A 26,056-nucleotide genomic window follows, 5' to 3' on the forward strand; every position below is an offset into this window, starting at 1 on the left:
GAGCTAAGCTATGGGTACACAAAGGCACGCAGAGTAATATAATGGACTTTGGAGACACAGAAAGAGGAATAGGTGAGAGGGGGGTGAGGGATTAAAAAAAACTACATATTGAGTACAGTGTACACTACTTGGGTGATAGTGCACTAAATTTTAGACTCCGCCACTATACAATTCATCTATGTAACCAAAAACCACTTGTACCCCAAAAGCTATTTAAATTCAAAAATATATTCTAAAATAAAGGTTAGGGGAAAATTTAAAAAGGTATGAATTTAAAAGAATATGATAACAACTTATAAAAATGATAATATGGTATTTTCTTTCATATGCAAAACAAAAGTGTTGCTGTCTTTCTTTCTTTCTTTGCTTTCTTTCTTTCTTTCTTTCTTTTTTTTTTTATAGAGGTGAAGTCTTGCTCTGTCGCCCAGGCTGGAGTGCAGTGGCGTGTTCTCAGCTCACTGCAACCTCCCCCTCCCGAGTTCAAGCAATTCTCCTGCCTCAGCCTCCCAAGTAGCTGGGACTACAGGCGCATGCCGCCACACCCAGCTAATTTATTTTGTATTTTAGAAGAGACGGGGTTTCACTATGTAGCCCAGGCTGGTCTCGAACTCCTGAGCTCAGGCAATCTGCCTGCCTTGGGCTCCCAAAGTGCTAGGATTACAGGCGTGAGGGTGGCTACTTTCAAGACACACTTGAACCCCTCTCACTCCCCAAAAACCAAAGTAACAAGTATATATCTAGGTGCAAACAAACTAGTCTAGGAACAGCCTAGACAAGATGCAGGCCAGTTACTGTGCTCTTTTCTAAGAGGCTTCAGCATGATGTCAGAGCCACAGCCCCCTGTTGGAGGCTTATTGTACATAAGTGACCATATATTGCAGCGTGTGGCCCTACTACCCTAGCCACAACTGACAAGGCCAGAGAAATAAGCCTGGTCTAAAAGTCTGCCAATGTCTCCTAGCCTATAGAGTGAGTGACCCAGTACGACAACCCAATAAGAGAAGGCTATACTGGAGGGTAACTTCTTGACCCAACCACATCTTCTCTCCTTGGGAGCTCCAATCTGAGTCATACTTGCATTTGAGAGGAATGCTGAAGCAGTGTTCCATCCATATCCAAGATCCTCAGATTACACACACATTTGTGTGTACCCTTCCCTGGATCTTTTCCTCCCAATGACCAGAAAGCTGGAAGTGCCTAGAAGCTCATGCATCTTCTCAATTAGTCAATGACTGAGAGGTGTCAGTCTGGGATGAGACTAAAGGACTCTCCATGGTCTTTGCCTGAGATTGCATCGTTGCTTGGCTTCTTAACCTTCTCCTTCCCCTACTGATATTTCCTGAGAGCAATTAATAACTCACCTTAACAAATCACACAAAAGTTCTGGCTCTGCTTCTGAAGAAACTTATATAAGACAGATGCACGAAGATTTCATGAGAAGCAGAGAGATATTCAAGAGGAGGCAATCAGTAAGTGACCCAAATATAACTGTTCAACTCCAGGATGGCTTAAGCCAATGAATGTTTCTTATTCTCTTGGCAGAATAAGAGCAGTAGGAGCCAGAGGGAAGTCTATGTTAAGAGCCTAGGAGAACACTAGTGAGTGAGTTAGGGGGAGGAGAGGCAGTCACAAAGGAAACCAAGGCAGAACAGTGGAGAAAGCGTCTGGACAGGGTGTGGGGTAGGGAGCTGCTGAGTACAGGAAAGATGACAGGTCATGCTGCTGGCTTAGTAGAGTTTTGTTGAGCCACCAGAACCACTGTATGACATAACTTCCTGTTTTCTATGATGTATGGCTCTACAGCTGCAATGATATCTGTCTGTTACTCCTCTGTGTATCCTTTTTAATAAACTCCATTACCCAGTGACCCAAATATAACTCTGTTCTTTGAAAACTCAAAGGGCCTAAGAAACCCACACTGTCAGAAGTAGAAATAACACCCCAATCATATGCTTGTACAATGTTTTAGATGTTTAGATTATATATTAAGTAGGTCCGTTCAGCTCCTTTTAATTTCGTTTTTATTATTAAAATTATAATGTGTTTTCTATGTTATAACATCTAGCTAATGCAAACTCCATTCTTTATTGTGTCACTAATTTAATAACCAACAAAATCCCTTCTAATTCCTTAGTAAATGAATTTGTTCTGTGTAATTATTAAGTGGAATACATTTCTTCAGTATAAAATTTATTGTACCTAAATTTAAAATTAAACATTTGACATATCAACAATTTACAACAATAACAAGTAGAGGGATTTTCTTAAATGTATAATTCTGAAGCTCAACATATTAAGTTCTCTTGTTAAGCCAGAGAGAGTCCCTATTTCAAATTTTCTGTTTTCTTGACGCCTATAGGTTGAAATCTTTGTTTTATAGGCTTCTGCTTGGAACTTCACTGACTCATTTTATGGTCGACCACATAAGAACATAGCTTAATAAATTCTCTTAAAAATAAAGTGCAGATATTGATTCTGTGATTGCTTGGATTAAATTTTTAAAAATACGAACACAAATCTATGGGCATAGGTGATGGTATTGCATCTGAAGCACCGTAATTGCAGTTAAACTGCATTGAAAGAAAACATTTGCTGAAGTAACCTATTTATTCATCTACTTCTATAAAGCTCTCAGGAAACAGCGGACCGTTTAGTTATACATCAGGAAGGCACACAAATTAACGACACTAAAACTAAATAAAACAATTCCCTTTCCATCAGGGGAGGTGTTTGCTAACAATTACTTTACCTAAAAAAAATTCTATCTGAATTTCTTAACACATCATAAAAAATCGCTTCATTGCTTCAAAGATACTTTCAGGAAGTACATGATCTAGAATAGATAATCTAGGGGATATGATAAATTGAACAGTAGAAGAGTTTTTGTTTTTCAAGAACAGATTTGCATTAATTTAATGCAGACGACCTCATTTTCTGAGCAACTAGCAAATAAAACTATACATGTTAATGGTTTCCATAACATAGGAGCATACTATTCCAATAATTGTGCTTAAGAATATACAATCAGTAATGGCAATTCTGCCTCATTGAGGATGTGAAAAGACTGTCTTAAATGTTAAATAAGTACCCTTAGCCTTACTCATGAAGGAAATGCAAATTAACACTACCAGTTTGTACCTCATTTGTTGGCAAAAAGCCAAGAGTTTGTTAACACACTCAGTTGGTAAGCCCTCAGAAATGGGCTTCTCACACATTGTGGGAATGCAATTGGTACAACCCCTTACCGAGAACAACTTATCTATTGAAATTACAAATGGACATACCTATACCAAATTTTCCTTATGGTAATTCCAATCAACACACTTGCACTTGGGCAAAATTCCTTCTGCATAAACTTATTCATTACAGCCTTATTTGTAGTAGTACAAGACCAGTAAAAGCCTAAACATCCACTAGCAGGTGATTGGTTGAATTAATTATGGTGCATCCTCTGGGATACTATGAAGCCATAAAAAGGAATGAAAAGTGCTCTATGAGCTGATAGAGAAAGATCTTGAAGATAAATATTTAGAAAAAAATTCAAGATGGGGAAAAGTATGTATAGCATGGAAAAAATGAGAAAATAAGAAAATAGCTTCACATGTGTTTGCATTTCCACAGAGAATGTTGAAAGGATACAATATAAAATAATGAAAATGATTACCTATTTGGATGAGGAGAGGGAAGGATTTGGCTGTCAGGAGACAGATCGTGAATGTATTACCTCTGTATAGAGTTAAATAAAAACTAATAAGAAATAATAAAATCAGTTCTCGAACACAGGCTGAAGAACCTTAGCTTCCAAGTTTGCATCACTTCAAGGATAAGGAATGCTCTAGTTCAGGGTTTGGCAAAGTACAATCTTTGGGCCGAATCTGGTTTGCTGCCTGTTCTGGGAAATAAAGTTTTATTGGAACACAACTATCGCATTTGTTTATGTATTGTCTATGGCTGCTTTTGCACTACAATGGCAAAGTTGAGTGGTTGAACCATATGACCCATAAAACCTAAAATATTTACTGTTTGGATCTTTATAGAAAAACTTTGCTAGCCTCTGCTCTGTATTGATATCAGGTCTGAATCAAGTCACAAGTGAATAAGGAAAGGTGTCTACCCCCTTCCTCACTTAAAATACTTCTTCTATACCTTCTTCAATTTTTATTTTATTTTTTTCTGTGTTCTAGAGTATGTGCCTTTTTTAAAATTACATATTGACAAATTATAGTTCCATATATATTCTTCAGATTTTATATTCTTTGGTGCTAATTCTATCTAGTATGCACACTAGATTGTAAATAACTATACTCAGGTTGCTTTCCTCTTGGTTGAAATTCTACATCCTAAATATAGTGGAGAATTATCTTTTCCTTTCTACATCCAGACTTGCTTCCTTTCTGTAACAGTGCCTCAGATTTCTTACAAGTTAGGTTTGACCCAACTTCAACTCCAGGATGCTTAAGCCAACTAGGGTTTCTTATTCTCTTCTTAAAGGCACTTGGTCAGGAATCAGTATATAGTCTGGGTGTGGTGGCTCACGCCTCTAATCCCAGCACTTTGGGAGGCCAAGGTGGGCAGATCACCTGAGGTCAGGAGTTTGAGAGCAGCCTGGCCAACATGGTAAAACCCTTCTCTACTAAAAATACAAAAATTAGCCCAGCGTGGTGGTGGGCGCCTGTAATCCCAGCTACTCGGGAGGCTGAAGCAGAATTGCTTGACTCTAGGAAGTGGAGGTTGCAGTGAGCTGAAATCGTGCCATTGCACTCCAGCCTGGGCGACAGACTGAGACTCCGTCCCAAAGAAAAAAAAGGAATTGGCACATGATCTAAGACAGACTAATTAGAGCCACTGGAACCTAATTTCAGGACTTTTGTTTGTGCTCTCAGGAAAACCAGGCATGCCTAAAGAAATGAAGCTGCAAACTTACAGCAATATAAAGTCAATATGGTCATGGGAGGTGGTGGTGCCAATATGACCTAAGAGAAAGTCTGCTAAAATAATTTCTGGGAAAATGTTTTTCTTAAAAAAGGAAGACATATGTGATTGGCATCTTCCTGTCTCCTAATCTTCTGCCTCAAATGCTGATGTGATGTCTGGGGCTGCAGCAGCTGTCTTACAATAGTGAGGCAATAATCAAGAGAATGAAAACCAATATGCTAAGTGAATTGAAAGTGTATTACTAGGTTCAATCAGGAAAACAGAGATACTCTAGGTACTTCAGGAATAAAAGGTTTAATCAAGAATTATTATTTACACTAATGTTGAAAGACCATAGGGAATAAAGATAAGAGAAGTTGTTGCCTGAAGGTCAAGGTCAAGGAAGGAGACTTTGAAAACTTTAGCCTGAAGGACTGAAGCAGGGAGCTCTCAGAAGTTCTCTAGGAAACTGCTCCAACTCTCAATAATCTCCAAAAAGCTCCCCAAAATTGTCTTAGTCAATGACAATTATGTAAGTTGTTCTCACACCAGCCAAAAAGATGTGTAAATCTTACATTTGCCCATTCTTCCTTTTCTATCTGAAATCCTCTCTGTCTTTTTTGTCGACTGAGCTCCCCTCACTGACAAAATATCATGGAGTCATACAAGAAAAGAATCTGGGAAAAGTACTTCTCAGCTTCTGCTATGCAATGCAAAGGACAGCATAAAAGGGGGTGAAAATGACATCCGAGAATCCAGCAAAGAGTATAAAGACAGAAAAAGTTGAAAGCTTTGTTGAGCAACTGACTTCATACCAGCAACCACCTTTCTCTGAATTTCACTTTATGAGAGAAAATAAACTTCTATTTGTTTAAGCCATTATCCTTTGGCCCTTTTTGAAATCAAATGTGTGCCTCACTGTTACAATGTCCTTCTATGAAAACCATGAGATAGTGGGCATAGAAATGTGAATTTTCAAAAGTACTAAAATAGAAAATTAATTTCCTATATATGATCTGGAATTTTAAGACTAGAGTGTTGTGTTGTTTCAATGGTAGCAAATAAAGATAAAATGTGACACTGCATCTCAGCTGTAGATTACTGGCTCATTTCCAAGTGTCCCCTGCTTGGCTTTGTTTTTCCTTTTCCTCTGCTTTTTTTTTTTTTTTTCTTTTTTTTTTTTTTTTGAGACGGCGTCTCGCTCTGTCGCCCAGGCTGGAGTCCATTGGCGCGATCTCGGCTCACTGCAAGCTCCGCCTCCCGGGTTCACGCCATTCTCCTGCCTCAGCCTCCCGAGCAGCTGGGACTACAGGCGCCGGCCACCGCGCCGGGCTAATTTTTTTGTATTTTTAGTAGAGACAGGGTTTCACCGTGGTCTCCTTCTCCTGACCTCGTGATCCGCCCGCCTCGGCCTCCCAAAGTGCTGGGATTACAGGCGTGAGCCACCGCCCCCGGCCTTCCTCTGCTTCTAATGCATCCTTCCCACACTCCAAATCTCACTTGTCAACATCCTACCTATTCATTTTTTTTTTTTCTTTCTGTCACCCAGGCTGGAGTGCAGTGCTGTGATCTCGGCTTACTGCAACCTCCGCCTCCCAGGTTCAAGCCATTCTCCTGCCTCAGCCTCCTGAGTAGCTGGGATTACAGGTGTGCACCACCATGCCCGGCTAATTTTTGTATTTTTAGTAGAGATGGGGGTTTCACCATATTGGCCAGGCTGGTCTCAAACTCCTGACCTTGTGATCTACCTGCCTTGGCCTCCCAAAGTGCTGGGATTACAGGCGTGAGCCACAGCTTCCGGCCAACATTCTACCTATTCTTTAAGGCCAATCACTTCATGAACATGTCCTTGATGACTGCCCAGACACAAGCTCTCACTCTTCACAGTGATCATGATAGAAAACATTCTCTGCCTCATACTGGATTTTGAGCTAGATTAGATCACAGCAATCCCCTTATCATCTACCGCAAAGGCCAACAAACTCTGGTCTGCAGGTGTGGTTGTGTTTACTGAAGAACAGCCATGCCTGTTCTCTTACATATTGTCCATTGCTACTTTCACACTACAACAACAGGGTTGAGTAGTAGCCTGAGACAGCATGGCCCACAAAGATGAAAATATTTACTGTGTTGCCTTTTACAAAAAAAGTTGCAGACCCCAGTTCTATTGGATTATAAATTGGAGGTTATTATTCATTATCAGCAGCTAGGTATTGCCTAACTTTGTAAGGTGTTTTATTTGAAGCAGGCATTTTCTGGCTTAAAGAAATAAAGAAGCACTCGTATGGGCTCGGGTCATGGAGAATTATTTTAAGGCTATCCAGGGGAGTAAGTCTCATAGCCCATCTGTCATGGTTCTGAATATAGCAGTAGTACCAGTGATATTGTTAATAACCAACATATATTGAATATTTCCTTTGCGCCAGGCACTGTCCTAAGTTATTTTCATGTATTGATTCATTTATTTCTTCTTATAACCCTAAGAGAAAGGTTCAGTGCTTATCTACGCTGTAAAGATGAGGATACCAAGGAGCAGAGATGGGAAGTAGCTTGCCAAAAGCCATGTGACTCAGAAGAACTAAAGTCAAGATTTGGTACCCAGCGTGTCTGCAGAGCCTGTGCTCTAAACCACCACACAGTACCACTTAGCAGCATACCTAGCTCAAATCTTTTTTCTCCCTCTCTGCTTCTCTCCTCTACTGGGGCTATGGACTACCAGGGAGGTTCTTTGACAGGTGCTTGTCAGAAAGGGACAATATAAGCATTGGGAATTCCCTCAGTTACCAGATATTTGCAAATGTCAATTATATTGTAGACCGTAGCAGCCCCCTAGTGTGGTGTGTCTAGTACAAGCGTACATGTCTTGTTGTTTGTGTTTCTCTAGGAAGAATGAAACCCACTCTCCGACCTGTGTCATTCCTGGGACACATCACAGGCACTTAAATCTTTTCTTGATCACTGTGGGAAAGGCTAGGGACTGCGGATCGTAATTTAGTTTTTTCTTGGTCTGATTTGGTCCTGTCTGTGCTTTTGAAACCAGACTTTTAGAAAGGGTGGTATACATTCTCTGCCTCCACATCCCTTGCCACTGATCCCTTCTCACCTGCTGCCATCTGGTTTCTGCCCCTATGACTCCACTAAAATTGACCTTGCTAAAGTAATTGGTGAACTCCTGGTTGCCAAAAGAAAGGTACACTTTTCAGCTGTGTCACACTCCATTTCTCTGTACCTTGTGCTGCTTCTGACTTCACTTTATTTCCCTTTCTTCACTGCTGGGACATTGCTCTATCTTGGGCTCCCTGTAGGCACATCTAAATTTGGAAAGTCCTTAGGGCTCTATCCTCAACCCTTGTCTCCTTGTCTATAGCCTTGATTCCAGCAAAATTTCACCCGTAGCCATGGAGTCCCAAGCCTTTATCCCAGAAAACCCTTCCTCCTGAACATCACATCTCTTTAAGTGTCTGTTATCCAGCTCCTCTTGGATGTCCTACAGGGACTTAAAACATTACATCTCCAAAGCTGATTTGATCATCTCCCCTCCAAATCTGCTGCTTGTCCTTTGCTCCCTATTTCTGAGACATCACTTTCCATCCAAATAACTAAACCAGAAACTCCAGATTTGTCCTAAACCCTACTTTTATTTTACCCCAATCACCAATTTCTGGACTCTACCCTCTTGATACCTCTCCTATCAGTCCTCTCCTCTCTGAGCCCTACTGTCCCAGTTTTGGTACCTAATTCTCTTGCCTAAATTTCTGTAAATGCTTCCTTATTGGTTTCTCTGCTTCCACTCTCACCCTTTCCAGTACATCTTTCATACTACTGTCAATTTTTTTCTTCCATCAACCAAGTCTGATCATGTTATTGTTGTTCAAAATGTTTCAATGAATCCCAGCTGCTTACAGAATAATAAACTCCTTTACCAGGCAGACAAGTCCTTGATAATCTGGTTCTTATCCCTCTTTCAGTCTCATCTCCCAATGCACCTTCATTAATATTAAACTTTGTGTATTAATTTGAAGGACTTCCTCGTTCCTTCTTGGAATCCCCCATCCCTCTTCCTGGTGTGTCTTGTGAACTTCTGCTCACCCCTCAAGTTTCAACTCAAATACTCCCTTCCCCTGGAAGCTGGGCCTCTGATGTCACACCACTCTGCTCATCATGTTGCACCCATAGTGTTTGATTGACTCCTGAGATATTTGAACTCAGGAGGATGTTACAAGCACCTAGCAGGATTAGAACCTCAAGTGCAAAGGGGCAAACACATTCAAGCTTCATCACAAACTGTAAACAATTTTTCCAAGTTGATAGGCTAGAAATTGTGAATTCACAATGCTGCAATTTATTTTTATGGGTTCTCTAGTGGTTCCACAATAGCATATTCCTCACAAAAGTAATCTCTGAATTCTCAGGTAGAGCTTTTACTGGTCTCCTCTCCAAAATGCTTTTCACATTGCAGCCTTGGTAATCTTTTCAAAACACACATCTGATCAACTCTCTCCCTCTATCTCAAATACACTACATGCTGCTTAAAACCCTTTATGGCTTCTCAATATTCTGAAGTTAACATGAAGCAAAAAACACCTCTTAAAAGGACCTACACTACCCGGCCATTCCTTTGACTCCTACTGCACCTTGTCCCACTGTCTGCATTGCAGCCACTTTTCTGGGTTACTCGTATGCCTCCCCTGCCCCACTGCAGTGCCTTTGCACGTGCTTCTCTATGTAACGCGTTCCATTCTCCTTCTCCTCGTCCGTTCATCATCACTTCCAGTGCTGCTTCCTCAGGGTAATGTTTCTCATCCTTCTGGTGTAGATCAAATTCCCCATGTGCCTGTCCTCCACAGTGTTTGTCACCCTGCATTTTGGTCCTGAACCATCTGATGATTTGGTTAATACCTCCCTTCCTAGGGCTGGCTGGTGAACTCTCTGAGAGTAGGAGCCCTGTCTTTCCTGTTCCTAGCTGAATCCCCATGCATCCCAGTTCACTCACAGTGGTCGGCATAAAGGAGTTCAATATATACTTGCTGAATGAATGAGTGAATAAATGAAGGTCAAAAATCAAGGGGTTTTCGTAGGGCTTTTCACCTTTACCACTACCCTGTATTTGCACGTTCCTTAACAATTTCCTAAAATGCTTTCAGATAAGCTTTTTTAATATTAACAACTGACTTTAAGAGCAGAAAGGGCAACCCATGCAGGTGACTTGTCCAATGCTACATGACTAGTAAGCAACAATTTGGGACTATTTCACTTTGTCACTTTTCAGATCAGGCCTATGGCCATTAAACAGCCAAAACAGGAAGCAAAAGAAGATAACGTAGAACTTACTAGGGAATAGATACACAAAGACAATAAAATAGAAATATCCAAACAAATTAAAATAAAAACACAAATTTTATTTTAGACTGATAAAACTTTGGTTCAGGGAACACAGACAAAAATCCTCTGCTGTCATTTCAGCATGTACCGTTTGGGCTATGAGGAAAAGCATGTCATCTTTCTCTGTATAACAGAGGCAGTTAATATTTTATCCTAATTCTCATTAAAATGTGTACGTTCAATAAATGTCGGCTATTAAACTGTTGGTGAGAAAGTCTATTTCTGGAAACCTTTTCATTATTTCCTTAATAAGACTATTTATGGTTTTTTTAAGGAAACAAGACAAAACGTAACCACTTAGCAGGTTAAAAGGGTAGCTGGAGTTGCCTTACTTTCAAGGAGCTACCTCAAAATAACTAGGGTTCATTTATCTAATATTTTAAGACTTCTATTAATATTGAAACACAATTTGTAGTTAAAGAGAAAAATTTAAATCACCTAAGAAAATAATTCAGGGCCTTTATAGTTTTACATTAATATGCCCTTTAATATCCAGATGTTACTTACCTAATAAAATGTACAATTAGCTGTGAATTGACATGAACAAGTATTTACTGAGCACCGATTACGCCGAAAGCTCCGTACTTTCTATGGGGTTTATATAAGAGCAATTCGAGTCTCCCCACTACCTCACTTAGTTTAAGCTCATTTTGCCCTGAGTTTATCTGGTAGCACTTTATTTTAGCGGACAAGGAGGGAAGTGGGGAAAGGAAAGGAATTATAAAAATACAAGGTAGACGTGCACAAGAACCTTCGTTCTATTATTATTTAGTAAAGTGAGAACTGGAAACAGCTTAACGTCCAGGGTAAGTTAGTTTCACTCACTCGACGGAATGTATGCAGCCGTTAATGTATTTCTGCATTTTCCCATATTTCCAGTGAACATACAGTACTTTCGCAATTCGGAGTACAAACGAAAAAGGGCGAGAGAAGGTCGCATTTTGCCTGCCGGAGCTAGGGGCGCGCTTGCCGGTTCCAACGAGTTTTCGGTGTCGGAAAACTTGTCTTTGCTCACATTCTCGGATTCCCGCGGCCGCAGAAGCCGGAGGCGGGACGTGAAGGGCAATGAGCAAGGTAGGCTGTGTCACTGCCGCCGCGGGCTCACTCGCAGCGCCAGCCGAGGAGCGCCACGGGCTGCTGAACCCCTCGGCCCGACCCACGCGCCGAGGGCTAGGATAATGCGCCTGCGCGGCCGTCACGTGGTGAGGGCTCCGCGCAAAGCGGGTTAAAAGTCACGACCGCGGAGAGCCCGCGAGCGTCCTGCTGGTCGGTGCGGCGCTTTCCGCGTCCTTTAAGACGAGTTTGACCGAGGCCGCTCCGCAGTTCCCGCCCCTCGGCCCAGCTCAGCTCCATGAACCTAGCGGAGCCGCCTAGTACCCTTTCTCGCCGACCGCACAGGCGCGCGAAACCGCGTCTTTCAACTGACAATGAAGCCGTAGCCGCGCAGCTCGGCCACTCCGGGCGAATCGGCGCGAGGCCGGGATGGTGGGGGGGAGGGGGAGACGGTTGGGTCAAGCTCCGCCCCAGCTCGCGCCCCTATTGGTGGGCGCAGCGGTTCTGGGCCCGCCCCCTAACGGACCTGTCGCTTTGTGACAGGCGGAGGGGCCAGTTCCTGTCGGGCCGGAGGCGGAGTCAGAGGTTGCTTGAGCTCCGCCCGGACTCCAGGGGGCTCCTCCCCCTGCTCCTTTCGGCTGGGCGGGCGGCGGGCTAGAGAGGGAATGTCATTGCTTCTCAGAGCCGTGGTGCCGCCTCCGTCTGCTGCTTCTTTCCTGGCGCCCTCGTCCCGTCGGCTTTCGCCGCCGCCGCCGCAGCTGCACTGGGGATACGGATGGCTAGTGGGGCGCCGGGGCCATCTGGGTTGAGAGAGCGGCGATTGCGGCCGCTGCTGAGGCGGAGACTCCCCGCCGCCGCTTCCTCCACCCCCAGTCCGCCGGCCTCGCGGCGCTGAGGGCGGGAGCGCGCAGAGCTCTTCCCTCCTCCTTTTTCTTCCTCCTCCTCCTCCTCCTCCGGGTCCCCGCCCAGCACCCCTCGCACCAGGCGGCGGCGGCGGAGGAGGAGAGCTAGACCCGCCGCCGGGGCACAACATGGCGGAGCCCTCGGCCCCGGAGAGCAAGCACAAGTCGTCCCTCAACTCGTCCCCGTGGAGTGGCCTCATGGCCCTGGGAAACAGCCGGCACGGCCACCACGGGCCCGGGGCCCAGTGCGCGCACAAGGCGGCGGGCGGCGCGGCGCCGCCGAAGCCGGCCCCGGCGGGGCTGTCCGGGGGGCTGTCGCAGCCGGCTGGGTGGCAGTCGCTTCTCTCCTTCACCATCCTCTTCCTGGCCTGGCTTGCCGGCTTCAGCTCGCGCCTCTTCGCCGTCATCCGCTTCGAAAGCATCATCCACGAGTTCGACCCGTGGTAAGTGCCTCGCCGCCCCTCCCCCGCCCGTGGCCCGCGGGGAACCGGGACCCGCTCCTCCGCCCGCCGCAGCTCTCCTCGACTTGGCCCCGCGCCGCCGCGGAGCCCCGCTCGCGTCCTGGCTGAGGCCGGCGCGGATCCCGGAGCTCCGGGCGCGCCCCCTGCCCGTGGGCGAAGTTTGCCCCGTGCAGCCTGAGGCGGGGCGTCGGGGTCCAGGAGCGAAACCTTGATTCTCGGCCGGGCTAGTGTGAAGACTGCCAGGAGTGTGGATGCAGCCGCCGGGAGTGTGGGTGCAGCCGCCGGGAGTGTGGGTGCAGTCCCTCGCAGCCCGCTTTGGTCGCTGAGTCCGGACCCGCCACGCCAGGAGGCGGCAGGTAGCTCCTCCGCGGACTGTCGGTCGATTCCCCGCCCTCCTCGCCCGCTGCTTTCGCGTTCTTTCATATTTGCGGGCGCGTTTTTGCTAGTTCAGACGGAATCGGCCAGGGGGGCTGCCCTGTTGCCGCTGGAGGTGGGTCCAGATGTGCCGGAACCCCGGCTGCTCACCCTTGCAGTTTTACGCTTTTACTGTTTCTTTTTATGCTCTCATGATACGAGAAGGGAAAAGGAGAGTGAATGGCGTGTTGGAGGGAAGGAAATAATACCCCTGAAAGTGATCTGAAAGCTAGCTACTCTTATTTATTTATCATTAGGTATTTTAAAGAGTGGCTTTTTTTCAGAGCTCTTAAGTGCACTCAGCACCTTACTGTTTCACTATCGTCTTGGGTTGCTTTTTAGAACAAGATCCTTACCCTGTTAGCCACTGTCACCCTTAGTGTGTTATGCACAGTATCTGAAAGCATTGCATTAGTTCCTTTATTGGTCTGCAGGAAGGTTTGTGGATAAGAGCAAACAGTACCACGGTGATGGGAGTCCTAGATTGTAATACCGAAGTTGCACATGGTGTAAGGGACTGACCTGAATGTTTTAGGAAATTACCCCACTCTTAACAACACTAGCTAACTTAGACACTACATTGGTCTGTGAATTATCTAGATGGAAAGATTGCTTTAACTTTTTTTTCGCAACTTGCCCAACCCGAGTTAGGATTTTTCCCCCTGAGTTAGGATTTTCCCCTCTGAGAGTATGCCTTTTAAACTAGTGTTATCTTATTGACCTGTCAACCTTGAGTTAATCTTACTTCCTCACAGTTAGACCTAATTAAATTTCAGGATATTTGTTTCATCATTTGAGATTCAAAGAGAGAGAGTCTTTTTTGAGAGTTACTAACTATATAGATAATAAGTGTTCGGGTGGAGGGGGGCAGTAACTTACCTGTATAGTAATATACCAGATTTAAGTTCTGCATTATGGAGAGAAAAATTGGTACTGCAACATCTATTGAACACCAGAGGGGCCCACTCATGGACAATTCAATTTAGATCAGTTAATTACTGTGACAGTCTTCCATGAAATGTTTTCATTCCATTTTAGAAGTTTTGATTTTGTTTTCTAACACTAGTTTTTTTAAAAAATAACCTTTTTGTTAACGTGCAATCACAGAAGAAAATATGTTAGTGTAGACTATTTATGAGCCTAAGAATACCTGTGAAGGCTTATTGACACAATATTATTAGGTGGTCTTGTTTTGAAATACTTAAGCAAGTTAGATAAAAATGAAATTGGAACCAGAAAATGAAAACTAGTATTTACTGGACAATATGAAAAGAGAAAGTTCTCTTTTCAGATTAAAATAGCAGAAATGCATGGTTGACCAAACATTTCAGGTAACAAAATTGTGAATATTTCCATAGTAACATTTTTACAAATGGAAGGCTAACGACTGTTTAATAGTAACTCTGGGGCTGAAATTAAAGATTGCAGAAAAATTCACTACTGAATGATGAGATTTTGGTCATTTTTCCTTAAGATTAGAAATCTGCATCAAGTCAGCCAAAGATCCCCACTAAAATTGAGTAATGCAATAATGAAAAGGCTCAACAAGTAAAGTGGCTAATATTTTTATTTTTTATTTTTTATTTTTATTATTTTTTTTTTTTTAGTGTAGCTAAGTATTAAAAGTTTTCTTTTTCCAGCTTCAGTAGTGTGGTTGGAGGGCATAATTCTTTTTCATGCACATGAAAATATGTTTTGGTCGGGCGCGGTGGCTCACGCCTGTAATCCCAGCACTTCGGAAAGCCGAGGCAGGTGGATCACCTGAGGTCAGGAGTTCGAGACCAGCCTGGCCAACATGGTGAAACCCCCTCTCTACTAAAAATACAAAAATTAGCCGGGAGTGGTGTCGGGCGCCTGTAATCCAGCTACTTGGGAGGCTGAGGCAGGAGAATCTCTCGAACCCGGGAGGCGAAGGTTGCAGTGAGCCGAGATCGCGCCACTGCACTCCAGCCTGGGCAACAAAGAGCGAAACTCCGACTCAAAAAAGAAAATATGTTTTGCTTCATTTTTTATATATATGAAAACGCATTTCTGACACATTATCATTTAGCTAAATTTGTACCATTTGAAAGTATACATCTCTGTTTTAAAGAGCTACTTAATTTAGGTATTCTGCATATAGTTTTAATGTTGACATTTCTTAATTAAATGTTTATATTCATAATGTTAGATAATCTTGCTTAGTAGTAAGGAGATTTGTATAATAATGGACTGTCTCCTGTGCCTTACCGTGAATGGAGATTTGTCAGTATGAATCTAATATAATGTCTAATTCAGGTGACTTAATGAGAGAATCAGGTTTCAGACAAAAAAAATACCTTGTTCTTGTTTTTTTTTCATGTCTTTTGAAGATCTCACGTAGTTAGGCATCTCATTCATTCTTATCTGATTCTTACAGTCATTCTTTTTGAAAAGGTTAAAAGGAGGGGGATGTGTAGATTGCCTGCCATTATTACTTTGGGCTTTTAAAGCTTTTCGGGGCTTTTAAATCTAGTTTTCTTCTATAGCTACTAATAGTCGCAACACTTTAACTGGTCTGTAGCTGAACACTCTAGTGTTTCTAGTTTGGGAGTTGCTCAGATCACCATCATATCATATAGCAATGGCACAGACCTTTAATAATATTTAAATGTTACTCTCAGGCTGTGCATCCACAAACCGATTTATTCTGGCCTGCTCATACCTTCCCTGACCTCTTTTTCCATATCTCTATCAATGGTTTCATTTCTGCAAGTCGTTTTAGTGAAGGGTTTACTTTCTCTGTGAGCTATTTCTTTAAATTTTACAGTAGTTCTTAAATTGTGTAAAAGACTCAAGTTAGCTGCTGAAAGTGACGTCACAGAGTTATACTTGTTTTTTAAATTTGTCACCCAAGTTATTTATCTTACCAGTTGTCATAAGGGGTGATGTGTGATTTATTTATTGAAGTACACTGCACTTTTTTAACATTTAGCAACATTTTTGGTAACAATTTGACTTCACTTTAGTAATTCCTCCCTTATCAGCTGAGTTGAACAGATAGGAGGAAGCAGTTTGAAAATATATTGTCTGTACTTGCCAAACGTTTGGTTAATCAGCCACTTTAACAGCACTTAACTATACCTTTTTATCTGGAACAAAATGTGTTTTCTACATATTTTTATTGTAAGAGATAATACTTTTACTTTATATTAGCCAGATACCTTCTCCATATCCATTATCTTGTTCAATTGTGGTAGCCTTTCCCATAGAAGCAATGAAGTTCCCTATGTGAGAGCTCTTTTTTCCCTGCCTTAGCAGGTTATAAAGTGGGTTCTCCCTAGAGAGAATTCTCTGAGCCTTAGGTTTTGGCTGTAGTTAGCAAAAATGCAGCAGACGCCTTTTTGCTGGGCAGAAAGTTGCAAGTTAGAGTTGGAACTTAGAATGCAATTTTTCCGAAGAAACTATGGTATAAATTGGTTAATTAGTACAGATGTGTTTTCAAAGGAATGATAAACCTTTGGAACATAAGCTGTTAGAAGTTGGGGACTACTTCCTGTACTTTGAGGTCTCCATGTTTTCCTTCACTTTGCAGATGACAAAAAGAGGCTGTTGACCTCAGTTCTGAAGAAGACAAATTGGTAGCCAAACCAGTTTTAGAACACAAACGTCCCCAAATCTTAAAAAGTCACTTTGTGGGATCATTAGCATCAGCAGTCCAGCTGCACTTCAGACCAGGTATCACTGTTACTGATTGCATTGACAATTAAATTGTATGAATTTATGATAAGATTGGTGCTACTCCCATTTCGGTTGAGTGTGATGGCTTCCATAAGTAGTAATCATAGATTTCATGATGTATAGGCCCTACGGTAGTTAGGGTCTGTCATGAATGCCCTTGGGACTTTTCCTTCCCCCTTTATGGTTTTCATATCGTAAAGGTTAACTTGGGTAGGACTGCATGCCCCTTACTGCCATGAGTAGTTTGCATAAAGACAACATTGGTTATAAACATTAGAAGCTCAATATAAGGATTTACATCATAATCTCTGACCCAGTTGTTAATGAATATGGGCTAACTTAACTAGCCCTTCTGTACCTAATCAATTTTTATACTCTCTATAAGTTTTGAGTGTTTGAGAAAATGTTAACATTTATCTTTATTGTTATATCTTAGTATTCGTCTGTGCACACGTGCTCTCCGAAATGAAGGATGGAAAGGTTAATATTATTCTCAAGTGACCAAATCATGTTTTTCCCCTCAATTTGTTTACTTTTAAAACTTAATGATCTTAGGGAGTGAAAATACTGCAGTTAACTTGAATTATAAAGACCCCACAATTCAACAGACCTATTGCTAAACTATTATAAAAATTTTCAAATGCACAAGAAAGTTGAATTTTATAGTGAACACTCATATACTCTAACCACCTAGATTCTACAATTAATATTTTGCTTTAGCATATCTTCCTATCCATTACTACTTTTAAATCCTGCTTGTAGACAGACATTGTTACTATGATATGAAGAATGCCATCTTTGTTCCCCAACACCATGATAAAGAGGATTTATTTCTACATAGTGTTTGTTTTCTATATTATTTGAACATATGTATATACATGCTGTTTCAGTATCCTCAGAGTGAAGTTAGGATCAGATTCCATCATTCCAGGTTTTGGTTAGCAACTTACCTGAGTGCATTGTAAATCAGTGCATTAGCCCCACATCTGTTAAATGACTTGAGTTTGCTGAATCTGGTGTCTCAGAAGAAACTCTAAAGTGGTTAGATGGATATTGATGTTGATGTTGGTTTTGTTAGGTGTAATTTATGTGAAACTCCTAAATTCCTTGAATTATTAGAAGGCTTTTATAGGTCAGCCTGTTGTCTCTGCCATCTTTCATCCAGAGGTAATGGTTTAGCTTTAGTGTGATTGCAACAGTGACTTCTGTAAATCCCTGCAATAAATAGGAAAAAAGAAAAACATTTCCAAATAGTATAGGACCCACTGATATACTATATGGGCCAAATTAATACTGTTGAAAGGGGAAAACCTGTAAATGGTTAACCTGCTACTCTGTCTTCAACCGTCTATCTACCTGATTCTGGTGGATGCTTTTTGTATTTAAACCAGTAACTCTTCTGAGAAGGCTTCTGTTGTCCTCTTCTTACCTACTTCTGACCATGAGTAATTTCTGGGAATTTAGAAATTGATAGAAAGTGGAATACTGTAGGGTTTTTTGTTTGTTTTTAAAGTCGAATATATTAGGAGGTGAGGATTAGCGTTGGGGGAGATAGGATCAGTTGCCCAGAGGCTCCCATATTTAGGTAAATGTATGTTAATCTGCATTTGTAGGCTTGCCAGGAAATCTAACCATTATTTAGAATTTTATGTCTTTGGAAAAATACTTCCATAGTTTCAGATGAAAAACATCTAAACATGTTTTGGAATATAATGTGTACATAAATTAGTGAATGCCTCTTTATGTTGTTCAAGGTTGTACTATTTGTAGACAAACAAATCTCTAAACAATTGTGACTGTTGGCACTAATTGACCACTCTCAACCATGTCTATTTCTTTTCTTTCTGTGGAATTTAATGTTGCAAGATAACTTTAATATATGTTCTAAATGATAGTAGATGCTTAGTTTTTACAGTGTTTTACAATCCAGTGACATCTTAGAATTGAGGAGATGAGGTAACATCTTTTATTTCCATAGACAAAAGATAATTCAATTCAGTATTTCCCACAAGAATTGAAGGATACAGATCTGCCAGATTCCAAAGTCTGTTCCTCTTACCACACCCTCTGCCTCCAGGGCCAGCTTAAATAAAAGTGTCCTCTGTTTAATTTATGTTTTTTATTCAGGTGCCCCAACTTAAGTCTTAAAATACTGGTCTATCAGAATACCTCTTCACAATCCGGGCTGTAGCTAACTAAGCTTACTAGTTGGATAATAGCTGATTACTTTGATTGTTTTGATGGAGCGAAGAGATGAGTTGATGGTTAAGACTTTTAACCTTCAATTACTATGGGATTTTCGGAAACTCTGAAGAGAGTAGCTGAATGAGAGGAAAAGATGATCAAATCCAACTGAATATTGTTCTTATTTAGATTTATTTTGTCTATAAAAAGTTCATAATAATGAGATTGGAAGTCTTAAGCCATGCCAGTTAAGGGAATTGGGAGATGGAGAGCTGAACTTTCAGAGTAGACTCAGAATTCTATAACCCACAGGATTTTTAGTGTATGTGTTGGCCCCCTGTTTCTATTTTCTAAGAAGCTAAGGACCAGAAGGATAATACTTTTTCTAAGGTGATACAATTATAGCTTGGCTAGATTCTTTTCCATTTTCTTTGCACCTATGTTTGCTGTAGAAGGGAATATTTTGAGAAGTCGTTTGAAATTGTTACTTCAGAAGATGAGGGGAAGTTACTTTCTACCACTTAGTTTAAATTTACAATATCGTAAATGTTGACAATTCAGGCTTAGATTTGGAAACAAATAGAGCTTTTGTGTGAAGCTTGACTCATTTGGAATTATTTAAAAAAATTGTGTGTACTGGTTGTCTGTAATCTCCATAAATTAGCAGTATAAATTTTAAAACTTTATTCTTTTTTACCTTGTTTGCTCATTCCTATTAAAAGGGAAATGTTACTGCATGAAGACATGTAAAGGAATTTTGTTTATATTAGTAAAGTGTTAAAGTATTAATGATTAGTTGATAACCAAGTTGATAATATTTTCTTTTGGGGTTTTCTTTTCTTTTTTGTTTCATGCCTTACAGATTTATTAGCTGTTCTCAAGTAAAGACTTTTCTCCCCAGTATGGTATTCTTTTCTTTGGTGATATCTAGCTATCCCTGCAACCTATAAAATCCTTCAAATGCATTGTTTTAAACTTTAAATATTGGTGCTTTGTTTCACTTTCTGTCCCCTGCCTCCCCGCCCCACAATAGATAGATAATGTTGTAGCGTATAAGATATACATATATATACAAATACTAATGTTGAAGGTAAAATTTTATGTTGTTGCCCATACTGTTAAAAAAATTAAAATGTAGTGTGATTTTTCAAAATTCTAGTATATCCACAGCTTAAATTATTGTTTGTTGCTGACCAAATTTATCTTTAGGAGAACACAGGCCATAAGGAGTTGGAGAAAAGGATCATAACTGGAAACTCACTTGTGACCACCATGCCTACCACACGTTTATTATTTGATGCCTATTCTTAAAATACCAGTAACACCTGTAGACTATACCCAGTTTAAGAAGGTTTATTATTAAAGTAAATTATTATACATCTTATTTATGTAACCCACATCAGAAATGGAGTACAGAACTATGGGAGGCAGCACTCTTGTACAGTTATATTCTTTGAAAATAAGTCTTAAATGTTTCTATAAACAAGAGCAAAGAAATGAGTTCTGCAAAGGATTTCATTAGAGGAGAAAAGATAATTCAGTTTCAGTTTTTAAAGCAATTTTCTTTTATGATGAAGTATGACGCATCCTGAAAAATATAAATCTAAAGTATAGTGAACACCCATGTGACTATTACCCAGATCAAGATCATTGCCACTACCTTAGACGACCTGGTGTGTTTCTCAATCCCTTCCACCCCCTGACTTTATAGTGATGACATCCTTCCTTTTTCTCATAGGTGGTAAACTCTGTGTGCATTGCTAAACAATACAATTTAGTTTTGCCTATTTTTAAACTTCAGATAAATGGAATTGTGGCTTTTGTGTCTTTTTTTTTCTTTTTTTGTTTTTTTTTTTTTTTGGCTGAGCATTTTCTTTAAGATTCATCCTTGTTGGTCAAAGGATTGTTGACAATATGTACGTAAGTAATAAAGTTCAGCAATAATTTTTTTGTTTGTTTGTTTGTTTTAGATGGAGTTTCTCTCTGTTGCCCGGGCTGGATTGCAGTGGCGCGATCTCAGCTCACTGCAAGCTCCACCTCTTGGGTTCATGTCATTCTCCTGCCTCAGCCTTCTGAGTAGCTGGGACTACAGGCGCCCGCGACCATGCCCGGCTAATTTTTTGTGTTTTTAGCAGAGACGAGGTTTCACCGTGTTAGCCAGGATGGTCTCGAACTCCTGACCTCGTGATGCACCCTCCTCGGCCTCCCAAAGTGCTGGGATTACAGGCGTGAGCCACCACGCCCGGCATTTCAGCAATAATTTGGCTAACCAGGTGTCTTATTCACCTGACGGGGTTGCCTGTTCTTTTATAGCGGGAGGTGCCTCTAGGAAAGAGAAAGGGAAGGTATTTTTCTTTTCACTTGAGATTTAAAAAAATTATCTCAAGGCTGAACCCTTGAGGTGGAGTCATCCTTGACTAGAGTAACTTTGACAACTTTGTTTTAAGGTACTAATTGTCCAGAGATTTAATTTTTCTACAGAAACCAAAAATACAAGAAAGTGGGTGGGAGAGAAGAGAGAGACATCGTCTTTAAGGAGACAAATGATAATCAGATAAATGCAAAATGACTGGTTTTAAACTATGGCTTTTTGTCAACTATTAAAGTATTGTATATTAAAATTGGCATAAAGAAGGCATTGGTTGCTTGATACTTCTTGAAAGCAGGAAAGAGAATACTGGAACTGGAGGTCTGAGCTGAGGAATTTAGGAAAACCCTGGGCATGGACTGTTTGCTGTATTGATATATTTGTAGAGATTGTCAATCCTGGTTTTGAGGTATTTTGTTGTTTATTTGTGTAGATGTAGCAATTTTGCATATATTGCATTTCTGTCATAGTTAATTCTTTGTTGAAGAAAAATTTAAATCTAGGACTGTCTTTCTTCAAACTCTGTTTAGTCAGCCAGTATTTCTACAGAATTCAAACTTAATATTTAAACCAAGTGTCTTAGGGTGGGTATACGTACTGTATCCCATCTTCACAAAATCCCATGTGTACCTGCCAGAGAGTAATATAAATGGCTCAAATTAGGCTCTATTTGGATGATGGTCCAACTGAGTGATTTAAGCTATTTTTAACGCCTCTAGTGTATTTCTTGTAGAATTCCTCAAATGGAGATTCTTTTCTGAGATATATTGACTGTTAAGAAAAATTCCAGGCTGGCTGGGTGTGGTGGCTCACGCCTGTAACCCCAGCACTTTGGGTTACACGAGGGTGGATCATGAGGTCAGGAGTTCAAGACTAGCCTGGCCAACATGGTGAAACCCTGTCTCTACTAAACTACAAAAATTAGCTGGGCATGGTGGTAGGCACCTGTAATCCCAGCTGCTCGAGAGGCTGGGGCAGGAGAATTGTTTGAGCCCGGGTGGCAGAGGTTGCAGTGAGCCGAGATTGCGCCACTGCACTCCAGACTGGGCAACAGAGTGAGACTCCATCTCACAAAAAAAAAAAAAAAAAGAGAAAGAAATAAATTCCAGGCCTACTTCTCTCAGAAATCACAATTGATCATCTGTGTCTTACGTGAGAGGTCTAGGTACAGGTTTTATTAATACAAAACAAACTAAATTTTACTTAGGACTGTTTATTTGGCTAACTAGGCCAGAGCCATTTTGAAGATTTTAACACCTGTGCATGTAAAAACACTCAAGGAGACTTAAGTTATTTGTTCTTTGCCAAAGTTGGTAAGGTACTGTTATGATTATTTAAATTTTGGTGCTCATTTTTCCTCTAATGAATATAATAATAACTTACTACTATTATTGTAGGGAGGCAAAAGATTCTTTAAGGCAAGAACATTTTTCTAATCTTTCTAGAATATCCTACACAGTATTAGGAACATAGTGAGTGCACAGTGAATATTAAGACAGATCCTTTATCTTTAATGGTAACCACATTTTATGTTTTGGTCATAATAGTAATAGTACAGTAAGTCTCTGTTGTGCAATACTTTGAAATTTTGGATTTGACTGTGATGTCAGTAAGATCACATGTGCAGTGAACATCATAATCCCAGTTTCAATACACATGTCATATTATTCTTTATAGAAGAAGGGAAGAGTTGATGAAGAAAAGGGATAATGCTTATGGAAGAAATGGTATATGTGAGCATCATGACAGCCATCAACAATTGGGAGATGAATGGCTGGATGGATAACTTAGGAAGAACTTTGAGGAAGATTTTAGTTTCTTGAGTATTTCTTCCAAGTACAAGTAACTCTTACAGAGGTCTGTCTCCAGTGTTAACTCACTAGTTAGGGAACATTGAATAAGAGAAGACAGACCAGTTAATATACAAAAACCATATGAGTTATGAAAGTTTTATTATTTTTCAAATGAGAAATGAAAAAAGACAGATGACAGCAATAGAAGTAAAATTCACAAGATGCCATTTTAATTGAACTTGAGAAATATATTCTGATACGAAGGAATAGTAAGAATTGAAATTATCATTGCATACATAGGCATTAGTTAGAATATACTAAATTCATGCACATGATGAATTTGGGTGGGGTTGGATTAATGATTCATTTGGTTTCATGGCTCTTGATTTAACTTTATGATTATAGTTAATTAATATGCAAATTAAGCAACACTTTAGGAAACCATCACAGCTCTGACTGATCTCATTTAAACTTTCCCATAAGAGGTTAAAGGATACTAAATAAAAATACTCATTAGGGATAAAATAAGTTGCTTGTCTTCATTAAAGTGTCTTTGCAATGGAAATAGCTTTGTTCTTGTCTAATTACTGGAGAGGATCATTGAATATTGTAGATATTGTGGGTTAAATAAACCAGATAAAGTCTTTATTTTCTTTTATTATGCATTGAATCCTGACAAAATGGTCAGCTCTTTAGTTATAGAATCATTCCATGTAATAATGGCAGTATTCCTGTGAATCCTAAAACAGTATGCTGTAATGATCTCACAAGATGTTTTTGCTTTTAAAAATGTGTGCTGTTTTAAAAACAAATCTTTGTCCATCAGTGTGCCTTTAAAAAAATCTATTACAGTGAGCAGGGTTTGTTGAAGACATTGACACTTAAAGCATTTGCACGGGGCGCGGTGGCTTATGCCTATAATCCCAGCACTTGGGAGGCCGAGATAGGCGGATCATGAGGTCAAGAGTTCCAGACTAGCCAGTTTGAGACCAGCCTGGCCAACATGATGAAACCCTATCTCTACTAGAAATACAAAAATTAGACGGGCTGAGGCAGGAGAATTGCTTAAACCCAGGAGGCAGAGGTTGCAGTGAGCCGAGATTGCACCACCGCACTCCAGCCTGGGTGACAGAGCAAGACTCTGTCTCAGGGAGCGGGGGGGGAACATTGCATATGCTCTTAATTTTTAAAATTTAATAACCTTGTTCCATATAAGTTTAATTGCAATCCCAAGATGATTTTTACTCTAGACCATCGCTAAAGAAGGCTTTTATTTTAATATGCTAAGCAGCTTTATGGCATTTGAAGGAACAGGATAATGAAACTGTGAAGTAGATGAAATAAATCTAATCTTAAAACTGTAAAGGCCAGTCATAAGTCATGAGTTTGAGGAGCAACTAAAATCTTTTTAAATAAGGATTTTTTTCTAAAGTTGTTAAAATGAATCAGTCACTTCATTAGAAAGGAAGATCTTTTCACCTGTTTAAATACTTTATTTTGGCTGTTAAAATAATTTACTGCATTTCAATGAAGTGTCAAATAGAAACAGCTGTTATATGAAAGGTTTTCCTTTTGGAATAATCATTCTGGACATTTGAAAAGAGTATGTAACATTAAGTGATGTTATAACTGTGTAAGAATCACAACATAATATACAGTTATAAATAAATTTTAAATAAATTGAAGTATATTTAACATACAACTTGCATATATAATGGGCTGTCATATTCTATATATAATTATAAAACTTAATGATAAATACTTGTGAACCTCCTAGCCAACCACAAAACCAGAACATTACCAATTTTACATCTGGCTGTGTTTCTTCTTTAGCCTGTCCCCTTAGTTTCCCCCTTAGCACTAGGCAACATTATGCTGAATTTTGTTTAACGTTTCCATTGCTATCTTTTAATAAAACTCTCATATGTATATATCTGTAAACCAAGCTTGTCCACCCTGCAGCCCAGAGCGGCTTTGAATGTGGCTCAACACAAATTTGTAAACTTTCTTAAAACATTAGGAGTGGTTTTTTTTTTTTTTTTTTAAGCTCATCAGCTATCGTTAGTGTATTTTATGTGTGGCCTAAGGCAATTCTTCTTCCACTGTGGCCCAGGGAAGCCGAAAGATTGGACACCCCTGCTGTGAAAACAATATATTGCTAATTTTTGCTTTGTTTGGAGCTTAAAAAATGGTATTAGCTTATTTATCCTCCTCTTTGACTTTCATTTATACATCTGTTAGTTGACAGACATTTGAATATCCAGTTTTTTTTCTATTGTGAAACATGCTACTATGAACATTAAAACTGTTTTCTGATGCATATGTGTGGATGTTTGCTGGGGTATATACCTGGGAGTGGGATTTTGTCAAAATATGCTTCAGTTATTTATGAAAATATACCACTCCAAAACTTAGTGACAAAACAGCATTTTATTATTTCACAATTTTGTGGGTTGAGTGGGGAGTCCTTCAGCTTCATGTGTCAGCTGAGGTGCTGAGATGATTGTAGTCACCTGGAGGCTCAATAGGCTGTAGTCAGCTGGGACTAGAATGTTTGGGATGCCTGGACAGCTGAGAGTCATCTGGAATCTTGTTCCATTGGGACCTCAGCTGGGGCTTTTGGCTCCTCCATGTGACTGCTTAGTCTGCCTCAGCATTGCAGCGGGGTTCTGAGAAAGAACATTTCAAAGGGGGAGAAAGCTGCCAGGTCAACTAAGGGTTAAGCTTGGAATAGACACAAGTAACTTCAGCTATATTTTGTTGTTCTCAAAATACACACAGACCTAGCTCAATGTTGAGAGGAGATGCATATACAGGTAGGGGCAGAATTGTTTAAGGTCATCTTTGGAAACACTTACCACAATGTGTTTATCATTTTTATCTCCC

General features: G+C 40.4%; 1 protein-coding gene across 3 annotated transcripts in view, besides 9 other annotated features; it reads left to right on the forward strand.

The window, feature by feature from the left end:
* Window positions 6,233-6,733: an enhancer, noted in NCBI's record as "H3K4me1 hESC enhancer chr3:31568343-31568843 (GRCh37/hg19 assembly coordinates)". NCBI's record gives its function as "activates a minimal SCP1, AML or CMV promoter by ChIP-STARR-seq in primed H9 embryonic stem cells {active_cell/tissue: H9 hESC(primed)}" and the evidence as "EXISTENCE:reporter gene assay evidence [ECO:0000049][PMID:30033119]".
* Window positions 11,630-11,889: a silencer, noted in NCBI's record as "silent region_14160". NCBI's record gives its function as "represses an Ori minimal core promoter by ATAC-STARR-seq in GM12878 lymphoblastoid cells {active_cell/tissue: GM12878}" and the evidence as "EXISTENCE:reporter gene assay evidence [ECO:0000049][PMID:35858748]".
* Window positions 11,990-12,129: an enhancer, noted in NCBI's record as "active region_19629". NCBI's record gives its function as "activates an Ori minimal core promoter by ATAC-STARR-seq in GM12878 lymphoblastoid cells {active_cell/tissue: GM12878}" and the evidence as "EXISTENCE:reporter gene assay evidence [ECO:0000049][PMID:35858748]".
* Window positions 12,200-12,429: a silencer, noted in NCBI's record as "silent region_14161". NCBI's record gives its function as "represses an Ori minimal core promoter by ATAC-STARR-seq in GM12878 lymphoblastoid cells {active_cell/tissue: GM12878}" and the evidence as "EXISTENCE:reporter gene assay evidence [ECO:0000049][PMID:35858748]".
* The window catches only part of STT3B (STT3 oligosaccharyltransferase complex catalytic subunit B), a 104,692-nt gene continuing 90,942 nt past the window's right edge, over window positions 12,307-26,056 (forward strand). For 2 of the 3 annotated variants that reach the window (NM_178862.3, XM_011533465.2), the window contains exon 1: window positions 12,307-12,694. In NM_178862.3, coding sequence (NP_849193.1) covers window positions 12,381-12,694 — 314 coding nt within the window. In that variant the 5' untranslated portion in view covers window positions 12,307-12,380. Of the gene's footprint in view, window positions 12,695-12,945; window positions 13,069-26,056 lie in introns of those variants that run through there. The other variant, XM_017005858.2, reaches the window with a different exon arrangement.
* Window positions 12,460-12,589: a silencer, noted in NCBI's record as "silent region_14162". NCBI's record gives its function as "represses an Ori minimal core promoter by ATAC-STARR-seq in GM12878 lymphoblastoid cells {active_cell/tissue: GM12878}" and the evidence as "EXISTENCE:reporter gene assay evidence [ECO:0000049][PMID:35858748]".
* Window positions 12,670-12,819: a silencer, noted in NCBI's record as "silent region_14163". NCBI's record gives its function as "represses an Ori minimal core promoter by ATAC-STARR-seq in GM12878 lymphoblastoid cells {active_cell/tissue: GM12878}" and the evidence as "EXISTENCE:reporter gene assay evidence [ECO:0000049][PMID:35858748]".
* Window positions 12,980-13,039: an enhancer, noted in NCBI's record as "active region_19630". NCBI's record gives its function as "activates an Ori minimal core promoter by ATAC-STARR-seq in GM12878 lymphoblastoid cells {active_cell/tissue: GM12878}" and the evidence as "EXISTENCE:reporter gene assay evidence [ECO:0000049][PMID:35858748]".
* Window positions 14,479-14,980: an enhancer, noted in NCBI's record as "H3K4me1 hESC enhancer chr3:31576589-31577090 (GRCh37/hg19 assembly coordinates)". NCBI's record gives its function as "activates a minimal SCP1, AML or CMV promoter by ChIP-STARR-seq in naive H9 embryonic stem cells {active_cell/tissue: H9 hESC(naive)}" and the evidence as "EXISTENCE:reporter gene assay evidence [ECO:0000049][PMID:30033119]".
* Window positions 14,981-15,480: an enhancer, noted in NCBI's record as "H3K4me1 hESC enhancer chr3:31577091-31577590 (GRCh37/hg19 assembly coordinates)". NCBI's record gives its function as "activates a minimal SCP1, AML or CMV promoter by ChIP-STARR-seq in primed H9 embryonic stem cells {active_cell/tissue: H9 hESC(primed)}" and the evidence as "EXISTENCE:reporter gene assay evidence [ECO:0000049][PMID:30033119]".

The sequence above is a fragment of the Homo sapiens genome, chromosome 3 (genome assembly GCF_000001405.40).
Source record: "Homo sapiens chromosome 3, GRCh38.p14 Primary Assembly".
NCBI lineage: Eukaryota > Metazoa > Chordata > Mammalia > Primates > Hominidae > Homo > Homo sapiens.